General features: G+C 36.3%; 1 protein-coding gene across 46 annotated transcripts in view; it reads left to right on the forward strand.

The window, feature by feature from the left end:
* Positions 1-15,072, forward strand: part of ZNF273 (zinc finger protein 273) — a 59,714-nt gene that overhangs the window by 39,134 nt on the left and 5,508 nt on the right. For 28 of the 46 annotated variants that reach the window (XM_047419800.1, XM_047419813.1, XM_047419803.1 and 25 more), the window contains 4 exons: positions 294-382; positions 845-971; positions 1,461-1,556; positions 10,918-14,245. In XM_047419800.1, coding sequence (XP_047275756.1) covers positions 938-971; positions 1,461-1,556; positions 10,918-12,302 — 1,515 coding nt within the window. In that variant the 5' untranslated portion in view covers positions 294-382; positions 845-937 and the 3' untranslated portion in view covers positions 12,303-14,245. Of the gene's footprint in view, positions 1-293; positions 383-844; positions 972-1,460; positions 1,557-6,629; positions 7,698-10,917; positions 14,246-15,072 lie in introns of those variants that run through there. The other 18 variants (NR_169738.1, NR_169745.1, NR_169746.1 and 15 more) reach the window with 8 other exon arrangements.

Here is a 15,072-nt window from a genome sequence, read left to right on the forward strand (position 1 = left end):
GTTCAGTTGATGTTAATGATTCACTTGGTATACCTATGTAACAGAACATGTAACCTATGTTACATGTTCTGCACATGTAACCCAGAACTTAAAGTATAATAAAATAAAAGAGCTCTCTGACAGATTTATTTTTCTTACTATAGAGTTAATTATTTTTCTCTTCTTTATTAAGTATCTTTATGCAGCTGATGTGCATAAACCATCACATTTAATCTGGAAGCTGCCCTTCTTTCTTAGGTTTCCTTTGTATATATTTGTCTTTGGAAAATAAAGGCTCTCATCTTTGTTTACAGGCCAGAAAAACTGGGAAAATCACAGGCTCTTCCACTTACTGGATGTTTGACAAAATATTCTTCTTGGGCCAAAAACATTGGCATTACTGGTGAGCTTGTTAAAAATTTGGAAACTCAGACTTTATTCCAGATCTTCTGGAAAGAAAATCTGCATAACAAGATCTCCAGTTTATTACTGTACACATTAAAATTTTAAAGCTAGCTTGTAACACAGCATTTCTTTTCTATCTGAAAAATATACACAGCTGATTCTGTATGATGTAAATATAGCACTCACAAATGTACGTGTTTGTGTTACTAATTTTATACTTTATTATCTAGAAAAGTATCATATATAAACTGCTATTGTGGATCTTATGCTACTCTTTTCTCAGAGTTAGAGAACACATTTGAGAATATTTCTGTTTTGAAAATTATTTTATTGGATAATTTTAGTCACTCCTATAAGTAAAAACCAGTTCTCTTTACTTTCGCATTCCACCTTGAGTCAAATTAAATATTCTGTCCAGAGCAAGTTGGTAAATATGTTTTTGTGTGTGTGTGTTTTTCAGGGACCACTGACATTTAGGGATGTGGCCATAGAATTCTCTCTGGAGGAGTGGCAATGCCTGGACACTTCACAGCAGAATTTGTATAGGAATGTGATGTTAGATAACTACAGAAACCTGGTCTTCCTGGGTGAGGATAATTTTAATACATAATTTAAAGGTTTCACTTCTCCTTTCTGTAGAATGTTTTTTGGAAATTTCTGCTTTGCATAAATAAATTTTAGATCCCTATTTTCAACAAAATCCTGGGGATTTGTTCATTTAGAAATGAATTTCTTCAAGATGTTTCATCTTGACTTGAACTTTCCACGTTCTTGAGCTACTCTGTATCCTTCACTCTAGATTAATGGTAATTCCAAAAATTTAGTGGCATAAAAGTTGCCCACACCGTAAAATCTAATTGCCACCACTAATTTTTCATTCCGTAGTACTGAGTAGTGAAATTAAGAACATACAAATTTAAAATATTTTTTAAATATTTAGAAATTTACATTACTAATTAGATATTTTGGGATTAATTTACTAGAATACTTAATTACATCCTCTTTACTGAGCACATTACTGGTTGATAATTGGAGAATATGAGCAAGATTCATGTTACTCATTTTTAATAAAACAGGTATTGCTGTCTCTAAGCCAGACCTGATCACTTGTCTGGAGCAAGGAAAAGAGCCCTGCAATATGAAGAGACATGCGATGGTAGCCAAACCCCCAGGTAGGTGAGAGTGATAGCGAATATAACAGATGACACAGATGACAGGTCTAAAGGTCAAGGAGAAAGTCAGTTCTTAAAATGTGATTTGGGCCAGGCGCGGTGGCTCACGTCTGTAATCCCAGCACTTTGGGAGGCCGAGGCGGGCGGATCACGAGGTCAAGAGATCCAGAGCATCCTGACCAACATGGTGAAACCCTGTCTCTACTGAAAATACAAAAATTAGCTGGGCGTGGTGGCACATGCCTGTAGTCCCAGCTACTTGGAAGGCTGAGGCAGGAAAATCACTTGAACCAGGGAGGCGGAGGTTGCAGTGAGCCAAGATTGTGCCACTGCACTCCAGCCTGGAGACAGAGTGAGACTCCATCTCAAAAAAAAAAAAAAAAAAAAAAAAAAAAATGTGATTTGGGAAGCTGCGTTCAAAAAAAGTAGTTTCTGGAGAGCTGGATTTTTTTTTTTCCTTTGCTCTCACATAGGAGCATATTCTGTCTTATGCTTTTAAATTCTCTAAGGATTCTACTTTCCCTTCAGTGATTTTCCTTCAAGTTTATGGTGAAAGCTAAAGTCCTATTCCTGGCATATAGGAAACTGCACAATCTTACTGCTTTTCCATTGTTTTGGGGGACACACAGATATCTGCATAATTTTGAGAAACTCTGTGTTAAACTATTTTTCATGTTCTCTTTTTGCATCACATCTGAAATATGTGAGAGTAGTTTATATTACATTGGGTTTTGTTCATTTTTCTGTACATTTAATCCTGTTTTTGTTACTATAGTCTTGAAATATAGTTTGAAATTTTAAAGTATGATGTCTTTCTACTTTGTTCTCTTTCCTCAAGATTGCTTTGGCTATTCAAAATTTATTGTAGTTTCATGTAAATTTTAGGATTATATTTTCCATTACTGTGAATAAAATACCATTGCAATTTTGATAGGGCGTTTATTGAATCTGTAGGTCACTTTGGATAAATGGCACTTTAACAATATTTATTCTTTGAATCCATATACGTAAAATATTTTTAAGTTTATTTGCGTCTTCCTTAATTTTCTTCATTGTAAAGATTTTTTAGGCTGGGTATGGCTGCTCACGTCTGTAATCTCAGCATGTTGGGAGGCTGAGGCGGGTGGATCACTTGAGGTCAGGAGTTCGAGACCAGTCTTGCCAACATGGAAATCCCGTATTTACTAAAAATACAAAAAATAAGCTGGACGTGGTGGTGTACGCCAGCTACTTGGGAGGCTGAGGCAGGACAATCACCTGAACCTGGGAGGCGGAGGTTGCAGTGAGCTGAGATCACCCCACTGCATTTCATCCTGGGCAACAGAGCAAAACGGTCAAAAAAGATTTTTTACCTGCTTGGTTAAATTTCTTCTCAGAAATTTATGATTTAATGCTAATGTAAATAAGATTGTTTTCTTCCTCTATTTTACCAGATAGTTTAAGTGTATGAAACCATAACATACGCTTGTATGTTAATTTTATATTTTGCTGATATACTCAGTGTATTTATTAAACAGGTTTTCATGTACTAGTTGTGGTTTTTAAAAGATAAGATCATGTGATCTACAACAGCAACTTTTTACTTATTTGTCCTCAATTTCAATGGCTATTTTTTCTTTTTTTTTTTTAAACTAATTCTTCTAATACATACTTCCAGTGCTATGTTAAAATAGAAGCAATTGACAATGGCACAATATAGTTTTGCATTGGTGTCTGTGAATTTGAAGAAACAAACACATCTTCAAGTTTTTATAACCTGGTTTCAGCAGGTAAAGATCTTTTTATGTTGGGCCCCCAGAGTGATGGTTTGCCCTCTGGGTTTGTAGTGGAGAGGGGTTGTAGCTTGCTCACAAGGATGCTGGGTCTGCACTAGGGTCCACCTTTAGTTGGCTTGTTACAAGGAGCTTGGGTAGTTGTAATTCCCATTATATTTTTGGACAGACTGAATCTTTCAGGACTTTGCTTTGTAGGGCAGACACCAGGGCAGGTTTTTGCAGTTGGGTCTATATATGGTGGGCCTTTTATTAGGATATGGATGAGTGTGGATTTCACTGAGTACCAGAGAGGATTTTCCCAGGTCACTGTGTGGATTTCTATGTAGGCAGAACCGGCCATGAACTGTAGCTCAGGGAGCTGGAACTGAGTCATTGAACTGCTTCAGGGACCATAGTAAAGCCCAAGGTCTGCAGGTCTGTCCGCATGGCTATAAATGCATGTCTTTCTCTAAGCCTCTGGAAGGGCAGGACCTCTCCCAGACTGTGGCTGGGAGGAGTTTGGGATGGTTACAGAGTAAGTTCAGAATTCTCAGTGAGACCAAGTTGGGTGGGCCATTTCATGGTCTGCAGCAAAGAACAGGGGTCCTGTAGTTTGCCTCCCGAATGAGGGCCTGCCTCCTGGAAAGAACACCCCTCAATCTTGAGCTTTAGCAGAGTTTCATAACTCCCTCCCTGGATCTCAAAGATTCTTTAAAGGCACTTATTTTGAAGATGGGGTGTTGCTGCATAATCCAGGCTGGTCTTAAAATTCCTCCGTGAGGCGATTCTCCAACCTTAAAGTACCATGTAGCTGTCCTTACAGGTATGAGCCATGATGCCTGATTCTCTCATAGAGGCATTTTTGTCAGGGATGGCTGACAAATTTTCTTGTTGTGAGGGGATAAATGAATAGGGCACCTTTTATTTTTGCATCTTACTGATGTCACTCTCCCTACATAGTTTTACTTTCTATTTGCTAGTTCAAATTTTTCTGTTACTTTATTTTATATTTATTTTTCTTTTTTTTTTCTTTGAGATAGAATTTTTAGCTCTTGTGTCCCAGGCTGGAGTGCAATGGCATGATCTCAGCTCACTGCAACCTCCACTTCCTGGGTTTAAGTGATTCTCCTGCCTCAGCCTCCCAAGTAGCTAAGATTCAGGCACGTGCCACCATGCCCAGTTAATTTTTGTATTTTTAGTAGAGACGAGGTTTCACCATGTTGGTCAGGCTGGTCTCGAACTCCTGACCTCGTGATCCGCCCACCTCAGCCTCACAAAGTGCTGGGATTACAGGCGTGAGCCACCACACCTAGCCTTAAGTTTTCTTTGTTTTATTAATTTATTTGAATTTTCTATTTTTGAAAATGGGGTCTTGATGTCTACTATTATTATGTTGGTATGTATTTCCTGCTTCACTTTTGTCAGTAATTGCTATGTATATATTGGAGCCCTGATGTTATACATACATACACAGATAGATACATATAATAGTTATGGATTCCTGGTAAATTGACCTATTTTACCATTATATAATATCAATCTTTGCTTCATGCTAATGCTTTTTTTTTTTTTTTTTTTTTTTTTTTTTTTTGTGTGTGAGACAGAGTCTTGCTCTCTTGCCCAGGCTGGAGTACAATGGCACGATCTCGGCTCACTGCAATCTCCGCCTCCCAGGTTCAAGTGATTCTTCTGCCTCAGCCTCCCAAGTAACTGGGATTACAGGCACTCCCCCACCAACATGCCTGGCTAATTTTTGTATTTTTGTAGAGATGAGGTTTCACCATGTTGGCCAGGCTGGTCTCGAACTCCTGACCTCAGGTGACCCACCCACCTCGGCCTCCCAAAGTGCTGGGATTACAGGTGAGAGCTACCATGCCCAGCCACTAATACTTAAAGCATACTGTGTCAGATATGATTATGACCACCTCACCCAATTGCGGTTACTATTTTCACGGAACATAGATATTTTCCAATAGGTTACTTTCAGCCTATTTGACTCAATGCTAAAATGAGTCTCTTGTAGGCAGCATATTTTATGCTTTTTTCTTAAGCCACTCTGGCATTCTATTTCCTTTTTTTTTTTTTTTAATAATTGTATTTATTTATTTATTTTCGAGATAGGATCTCATTCCATCAACCACGCTGGTTTGCAGTGGTGTGATCACAGCTCACTGCAGCCTCAACCTTCCAAACTCAGATGATTCTATCATTTCAGTCCCTCAAGTATCTGGGTTACAAGTATGTACCATTATACCCAGTTAGTTTCTTTGTTTTTGTTTTTTTGTTTTTTTTTTCCCCCGGAGACAGAGTCTCCCTCTGTCACCCAGACTGGAGTGCAGTGGCATGATCTCGGCTCACTGCAACCTCTGCCTCCCAGGTTCAAGTGATTCTCCTTCCTCAGCCTCCTGAGTAGCTGGGATTACAGCGACTAATTTTTGCATTTTTAGTAGAGATGGGGTTTCATCATGTTGGCCGGGCTGGTCTTGAACTCCTGACCTCAAGTGATCCTCCTGCCTCAGCCTCCCAAAGTGCTGGGATTACAGGTGTGAGCCACTGTGCCTGACTAGTTTCTTTGTATTTTTTGTAGAGACAGAGCTTTGCCATGTTACCCAGGCTGGTCTCAAACTCCTGGGATCAGGTTATTAGTCCATGTCACACCTGTAATCCCAGCACTTTGGGATGCCGAGGCGAGTAGATTACATGAGGTCAGGGGTTTGAGGCCAGCCTGGCCAACATGGTGAAACCCTGTCTCTACTAAAAATACGAAACATTAGCCAGGTGTGGTGGTGCATGCCTGTAATCCCAGCTTTACCGGAGGCTGAGGCATGAGAATCGCTTGAGCTGAGGATGTGGAGGCTGCAGTGAGCCAAGATGGTGCTGCTGCACTCCAGCCTAGGTGGAAGAGCAAGACTCTGTCTCAAAATTAAAAAAAAAGAAAAAAAGAAAATCGCAAAATTTACAATAAATATTCTTAAATATTCAGTTTAGTCATACTAATTATATTATGCAACATTTTACTAAGTGTTTTTATCTTACAAAGCTAGTCTCAACACATATTAAACAACTACCATTTTTTCCCGTTTTCATGGCACTTTTCAAACACTACTCTTTTTTTTCTAGGAGTGTAACTGCATCATATATCTCATACAAACTCTGTCTTTTTGTGGCAGCTCATTTTATTTTGCATAATGTCATCAAGATTTATCGTTATAGTTGTTAGAATATCTTCCGCTTTTTGAAAACTGAGTGACAGTCCAGTTTTATTGTTGTTGTTTGTTTTGTGTGTGTGTGTGTTTTTTTATTTTTATTTTTTATACAGATTCTCATTCTTTCACCCAGGTTGGAGTGCAGTGGCGTGATCTTGGGTTACTGCAACCTCTGCCCCTCGGGATTCAAGTGATTCTACTGCCTCAGCCTCCCGAGTAGCTGGGATTATAGGCGAGTGCCATCATGCCCGGCTAATTTTTGTATTTTTAGTAGAGTGAGGGTTTCACCATGTTGGCCAGGCTGGTCTCGAACGCCTGACCTCGTGTGATCCGCCCTCCTCAGCCTCCCAAAGTGCTGGGATTACAGGCATGAGCCACAGTGCCCGGCCAAGTATTTTTATATTTCAGATCATATCTACTGAATGATTTGGTGACAGAAATTTGCATTGCTTTTACCTATTGGCTTTCAGTAACAATGGTATAATAATTATGGGTATGAAAATGACTCTTCATATGACCACATATGTGAAAGTATATATATGTGCTGCATTCTATTTTACTAGTCTCCTTTTTTTTTTTACCTTTATACTTGTAGCAAATTGTTTTAATTCTGTAGCTTTGTAATATGTTTTAAAATCAGAAACTATAATGCTTCCAACATTGTTCCTTTTTTTGAAGATTGTTAGGTACTTTATTGTCTCTTGAGATTCCATATACTTTAGGGGTTGCTGTTTTTATGTCTTCAAAAATGCAATGAGAAATTGAGAAAACATTGCATTAAATCTTGTAGATTACATTGAGCAGTATAGACATCTTCCCAATATTTCAACTTTTGAACAAAAGCATGCTAAAGAATGTGGTTTAATTTACTATATATTTGTAAACTTGTTAGCTTTTAATATTGTTTTATATTGTCATTCCATTTTTGTTATAGAAAGTAATCCATAAAATTTCAGTTCTAAAATACTTTTTAAGACTCTTTTGACTTATTTGGTGGTCTGTCAAGAAGAAAGTTGTATAAGCTATTGATAAGGGTGTGTATCTTAATGTTGTTGAGTTTTGTATACCTATGTTAGGAATATTTGTTTTATACTGCCTTCAGGTCCTCTGTTCTCTTACTAATGTTCTGTCTTGTTTTATTCTTACTATAGAAAATGGGATATTAAAATAGTCTATAATTATATTGTTCTCTATGTGTTTCAATTCTGTTGATATTTGCTTTATATATTTGGAACACTAATGTGAGACACACACTCACACATACACACACACACACACACACGCGCGCGCGCAAATTTGTCATAGTTTCTCATGAATCTATTATTGTTTAATGTCCGTACTTGTCTCTTTGGAGTTTTGACTTAAAGTACATTTTATAAAATACGACAGTTACTTAAGATGTAGCTTGTGTAATACTATTTTGACGTCTGCTGCTCTCGTTTTGTTAATATTTGCATGGAATATTACTTCCATCTTGCCACTTTCAGTCTTTTTATTATTAGATCTTTGCTGAGTCTTGTAGAAAGGCAACTTGGATCTGGATTTTTCAAATTTTTTTTTTTTTTTAGGGGGAGTCTCATTCTGTCACCCAGGCTAGAGTAGTGCAGTGGCACCATCTCAGCTCACTGCAACTTCCGCCTCCCAGGTTCAAGCGCTTCTCCTGTCTCAGCCTCCCAAGTAGCTGGGATTACAGGCACCCGCCACCATGCCTGGCTAATTTTTGTATTTTTAGAAGAGATGGGGTTTCACCATGTTGGTCAGGCTGGTCTCAAACTCCTGACCTAAGGTGATCCACCGCCTCGGTCTCCCAAAGTGCTGGGATTACAGGCATGAGCCACCGTGCCTGGCCGATTTTTCAATTTTTTAAATAAATCCCTTTATTAAATGTATGTCTCTTGATCGGAAAGTTAATTATATATATTCAAATAATTTTCTGAAGGAGAAAGTCTTACTAATATCATTTTATTAGTTTTATTTGATTCTTGTATCTTTGTCTCTCATTTTCTTTATCTTCTGTGTGTCTTTGCGATTTTTGTATCGATATGCTTTCATTTCTTTCTTATTTGTGTATCCATACAGATATTTTTTGGGGTACCTTGGGGATTACATAAAACCTCTAAAAGATAAAACAATATAGTTTAACCTGGTAAAAAAAATTAACTTCAGTTGCATACAAAGTTTTTTTGTTTGTTTTTGTTTTTTTGAGACAGAGTCTCGCTCTGTTGCCAAGGCTGGAGTGCAGTGACACAATCTTGGCTCACCACAACCTCTGTTTCCCAGGTTCAAACAATTCTCCTGCCTCAGCCTCCTGAGTAGCTGGGACTACAGGCGCGCGCCACCATGCCTGGCTAATTTTTGTATTTTTTTAGTAGAGACAGGGTTTCACAATGTTGGCCAGGTTGGTCTCGAACTCTTGACCTTGCGATTCACCCGCCTTGGCCTCCCAAAGTGCTGGAATTACAGGCATGAGCTACCATGCCCGGCTGCATACAAAGTTTTTTCCTCATTACATCTGCCCTCAACCTTGTTATTGATGGTGCTAATTATCTTTTTATGTTGTATGTCTATTAACAGTTGTTTATAACAATTTCTATGCTTTTATCTTTCAAGTTCTAGAGAATAATTAAAAATGTGTACTGCACCATTATGATAATGCTAAGGAATAGTATTTTTGTGTATGTGCATGTCTCTCCCAGAAAGTTATGTATTTTCATATGATTATGTGTTGTTTTCTTGCATCATGTTATTTTCAGTGGAAATAACTCCTTTTCACCATCTTTGATATGTAGGGCAAATGGAGTGCCAATATACTTTTTCAGGATTTGGTTATTTTGGAAGATCTTTTCCTTTTTATCTGGTAGGACAGTTTTGCTGATGGTATTATTCTCACTTGGCAGCTTTTTTTTTTTTTTTAAGGACTTTGACTATATCACACAGTTTTTTCTCTGGCCTGCAAAATTTTCTTGACTAATTCACTGGTTTTCTCATAAGACTATCCTTGTAAATGACACATCACTTTCATCTTACAGTTCCCAAGATTGTCTTGCCTGTGACTGTTGAAATCGTGCTTATATATGTGTGTGTTATAAATATCTTTGTTTGTATCCTAGTTTGTTGAGCATCTTCATTTTTACATCAGATTTTCCTACTTTTAAAATTTTTTAGTTTTTTTGTCATTTTACCTTAACAATTTGTTTTTGATATTTTTAACACTTGTTTTTATCCTCATATTTCTGATTTTCAGTAGTTGTCTGTGTTCCTATTTAATTCATTGAGTATTATTCAATTTATTTTAAATTTTTAAAATTAATTTTTACAGCTTCATTCTTTAATAGTTGCTTTCAGAAAATTTTATAATGTTTTTGATGAGGCCATGTTGCCTTCCTATTTTGTATGCATTATAATTTTTTATTGAGATTTGGACATTAAAAACAAGCTACCCATCACAATCTTTATAACGTATCTTTGTCTTGGCTTAGTCTGAAACCAACTGTCTTGGCTAGAGATTTTGGTAGTCTCTCAAACATGTTCTTAAAATGTGTCTTTTCTGAAATTTTTTGGGTTTTTTAGTTAAAGGAGTTTGTTCATGTTTCTTCTTAATAGTCAGTAATCACTTGCTACACCTGTTCCTTGTCTGTGGTACTGCAGTTTCTCTGCTGCTGCAACATTCACCTTGGGTCTCAGCTGACTCAAACTGTTATTCCATAGTATATCACCATTTCTTTTGCATTTGTCAGGAGAGACAGAAACCAGTGTCTGGAAAGGCCCCTAGAAGTCTGAAATGAATATGTGTGTGCCACTGTTTTTCTTCTCTTTTCAAAAAGAAACCAAGAGTTGGCAATTTACTCCTTTTTTTTGAGACAGAGTCTCACTCTCATCACCCAGGCTGAAGTCCAATGGCGTAGTCTCAGCTCACTGCAGCCTCTACCTTGTGGGTTCAAGGGATTCTCCTGCCTCAGCCTCCTGAGTAGCTGGGATTACAGGCATGTGCCACACCCGGCTAATTTTTGTGGTTTTACCAGAGACAAGGTTTCACCATGTTGGTCAGGCTGGTCTTGAACTCCTGACCTTGTGATCTGCCTGCCTCGGCCTCCCAAAATGCTGGGATTACAGGCATGAGCCACTGCACCCGACCTGCAATAGACTTTTCCTTCTATATGGCTCTTTGCATTGTGCTTACCTGGGGCACTGCACACACTTAACTCATTTATAAATTTTCCACAAATGTATCTTGGTCAGTATGTTTTTGTTACATTGATATGTCTGTGAAGGAATTAGGGCCTGTGGTATTTTGCTATACCATCTTCCTTATGTAGTTTGTATATTTTTATAGGTTAGATTTGTAAAGTATATTCATCTGAGTCTAGTAAGTGGGGTAATTGTTACTTTTATTTCTTTCAGTTGTGTGTTCTCATTTTGCCCAAGACCTTTGGCCAAAGCAGGGCTTAAAAGATTCTTTTCAAAAAGTGATACTGAGAAGATATGGAAAATATGGACATGAGAATTTACAATTAAGAAAAGGCTGTAAAAGTGCGGATGAGCATAAGGTGCACAAAAGAGGTTATAATGGACTTAACCAATGTTTGACAACTACCCAGAGCAAAATATTTCAATGTGATAAATATGTTAAAGTCCTTCATAAATTCTCAAATTCAAATATACATAAGAAAAGACAAACTGGAAAGAAACCTTTCAAATGTAAAGAATGTGGCAAATCATGTTGCATACTTTCACAACTAACTCAGCATAAGAAAACTGCTACTAGAGTGAATTTCTACAAATGTAAGACATGTGGAAAAGCCTTTAACCAGTTCTCAAATCTTACTAAACATAAGATAATTCATCCTGAAGTGAATCCCTACAAATGTGAAGAATGTGGCAAAGCCTTTAACCAGTCCTTAACTCTTACTAAACATAAAAAAATTCATACTGAAGAGAAACCTTACAAATGTGAAGATTGTGGCAAAGTCTTTAGTGTATTTTCAGTCCTTACTAAACATAAGATAATTCATACAGGAACAAAACCCTACAATTGTGAAGAATGTGGCAAAGGCTTTAGTATATTCTCAACCCTTACTAAACATAAGATAATTCATACTGGAGAGAAACCCTACAAATGCAATGAATGTGGTAAAGCCTTTAACTGGTCCTCAACTCTTACTAAACATAAGAGAATTCATACTGGAGAGAAACCCTACAAATGTGAAGAATGTGGCAAAGCTTTTAACCAGTCCTCAACCCTTACTAGACATAAGATAGTTCATACTGGAGAGAAACCCTACAAATGTGAAGAATGTGGTAAAGCCTTTAAACGGTCCACAACTCTTACTAAACATAAGAGAATTTATACTAAAGAGAAACCATACAAATGTGAAGAATGTGGAAAAGCCTTTAGTGTATTCTCAACCCTTACTAAACATAAGATAATTCATACTGGAGCAAAACCTTACAAATGTGAAGAATGTGGCAGTGCCTTTAGGGCATTCTCAACCCTTACTGAACATAAGAGAGTTCATACTGGAGAGAAACCTTACAAATGCAATGAATGTGGTAAAGCCTTTAACTGGTCCTCAACTCTTACTAAACATAAGAGAATTCATACTGGAGAGAAGCCCTACAAATGTGAAGAATGTGGCAAAGCTTTTAACCGGTCCTCAAACCTTACTCGACATAAGAAAATTCATACTGGAGAGAAACCATACAAACCTAAAAGATGTGACAGTGCTTTTGACAACACCCCAAACTTTTCTAGACATAAAAGAAATCATATGGGTGAGAAATCCTAGAAATGTGAAGAATGTGACAAAGCCTTTAAGCGGTTGTCACACTTGATTGTATATAAGATAATTCATACTGGAGAAAACTCCCAGAAGTGGAGTTTTCCTTATTGCACAGGAAAGCATTTATACTTGAGAAAAATTGTATAAAGAATGGAAAAGTCATTAATATCTGCTCATATCTTAACATCAGCGAGTTGGTATTTAATAAAAGCATTATCAATGAAATTACTGTCAAAAGATCTTTCAGACAATATAAGCCTGCAAAGTGCAGCAGAGTATTTATTTTGAAGAGAAACATTAAAAGTACAAAGAGGTTTGTAGTACCTTTGTTTGTATCATAGATCTTATTGTACACATTTTGTACCAGAGAAAAACCCTGAAGCAGTTGTTCAAACTTTGTTCAATACCAGGAAATTTATATTGGAGAAAAACCCTATGAGTGTAATGAATTTGGAAAAATATTTTTTTCAACAACAGCTTAGAAAACATGGGAGGAATTACACTAAAATATATTTTTGCAAATGCAGCAGTAAATATGAAAGAAATGATCCAAAGTTAGGTTTATATAAATATCAGAGAATTCACAATACAGATATCTAAGATACTGACACTTCAGACATTACACAAAATCAGAGTGCTGAGTACAGAAAGTTATCCAAAACAAAAGTTGGTAGATAACTAATAGTGAACAAGTTTTTGGCAGAGGTATATTTACATTCAGAGTACACTTTTCTTTGGAAAAAATTACAGGTTTTTTGAAAAGTGAATAATGTAATTCAACTCTCAAATTCATGGTTTTTTTTTTTTTGGTTTTGGTTTTGGGTTTTTTGTTTGTTTGTTTGTTTGTTTTTGAGACGGAGTTTCACTCTTGTTGCCCAGGCTGGAGTGCAATGGCGTGATCTCAGCTCACCGCAACCTCTGCCTCCCAGATTCAAGCAATTCTCCTGCCTCAGCCTCCCTAGTAGCTGGGATTACAGGCATGTGCCACACCTGGCTAATTTTTGTGGTTTTAGTAGAGACAGGGTTTCTCCATGTTGGTCAGTCTGGTCTCAAACTCCCAACCTCAGGTGATATGCCCGCCTCGGCCTCCCAAAATGTTGGGATTACAGGCATGAGCCACTGCACCCGGCGCATGTTTTTTCTTCATTCCTATTGTATTCACATGTGAAAGCATGTGATCAACTTGCTGCATCAAAGATATGAGATTTTTTTTTTTATTAGGTGGGCATTATTTATGACCTTTTCTGTGGAAGAGTAAGAACATTAAAATGAAAGATGCATGATGAAAATCTAAGTAGAGAGGCTCTTGTGGTTAACTGATAATATTGAGTGATGCATGAGGTAGGTGTTCAGAGTAATATTCTGCATTATAGTGAAAAATTTTTAATATTAAAATTCAATTATATCATTTTATGAATTGTGCTTTTCATAATGCAGTACATTTCAAAATTTTTAGATTATGTATGAACTTAGATTTTTAAACATGTTTTAACATGTTAAGACTTGTGCATTCAGTGAAGCGTTATTATGCCACAAACTAACCTACCTCACCTTACTCAATGGTGTAGGTAAAAGATGATAGCAATATATTATTTGGTTACATAGTGGACTAACATTTTTAGTAATCTCTTTTGCCAGTGGCTTTAAACTGCAGATAAGTTAAATATTCCCATAGGTTTTACATTTATATTTTTTCTTATTTAAATTTATTGTTCTTATTTTTCATGGGTACATAGTATGTTTTTATGCTGTATATGGCATGTTTTGATACAGGTATATAATATGTAATAATCACATCAGGGTAAATGAGGTATCCCTTACTAGCATTTATCCTTTGTATTTTATTTTAAAATGTACAACTAAATTGTTATGGACTACAGGGTTATTTTTATGGTCATAATAAAAATTACAAAAGTATGAATAAAATACATACATTTCTGAGTCCTGAATATTTTTAAAAATTTGTTATATATTTTTCTTCTAACATGTGGCCTCTTTGCCTGCAAACATATAAAGACTCAGTTTTGATTTACATAGAGTTAAATATACATATATTTTACTTTAAAGATAAATCTTAAGTGTAAGAAAATTGTAGAGTAAGTGTGCTTGTGTGAGTATGTTTGTACCTGTTTTCAAAAGAAAACAGCAATATTGGAACAAAACAAATCATTTTAATAAGGTGACTAATTTATTAGAAAACTAACAACCTCAAAAATGCTGAAAGCAAATCTATACTCTCTCTGCTTTGTACTGAATTCATTACTGTAAAATATTATGGCTTATGGTTCAGAATCTCCCCATGCAGATGTTCTGTTTTTACTTGCCTGGTACTCATGGTAGAGCCATACATTTCTTTTTTCTTACAATTTCTTTTACAGTTTATGAAGTATTATATGAGCTGGTCAGGGATTACAACAATTATTTTTTTTATAAAATTTAGTAGTGCACAAAAAGTAATTTTTAGATGTAATTTTACTATTAGTCTATTAAGTTATATTTTATTTATTTAGTTAAAACATTGCCCTTTGTTCTTTTAATTGGAGAACCCTATGTAAGCCGACTTTTTTAAAGTTATTCTTTCTTTCACTTTTCATAATTTTCATAAGTAAATTTATTTATTTATTGAATTTGTTCAGGTAAGTACTAGGGAGGCTTCCTGAGTCATGAGGATGCTGTTCTATATAAACATAGCAGACAAACATGACAGTGCTTGATCTATAACAGATGCTCCATAGTAAGACATAAATATTCCTGTTGAAGTTAGTTTGTAACTTCA

Source organism: Homo sapiens, chromosome 7 (genome assembly GCF_000001405.40).
Source record: "Homo sapiens chromosome 7, GRCh38.p14 Primary Assembly".
NCBI classification, from domain to species: Eukaryota; Metazoa; Chordata; class Mammalia; order Primates; family Hominidae; genus Homo; species Homo sapiens.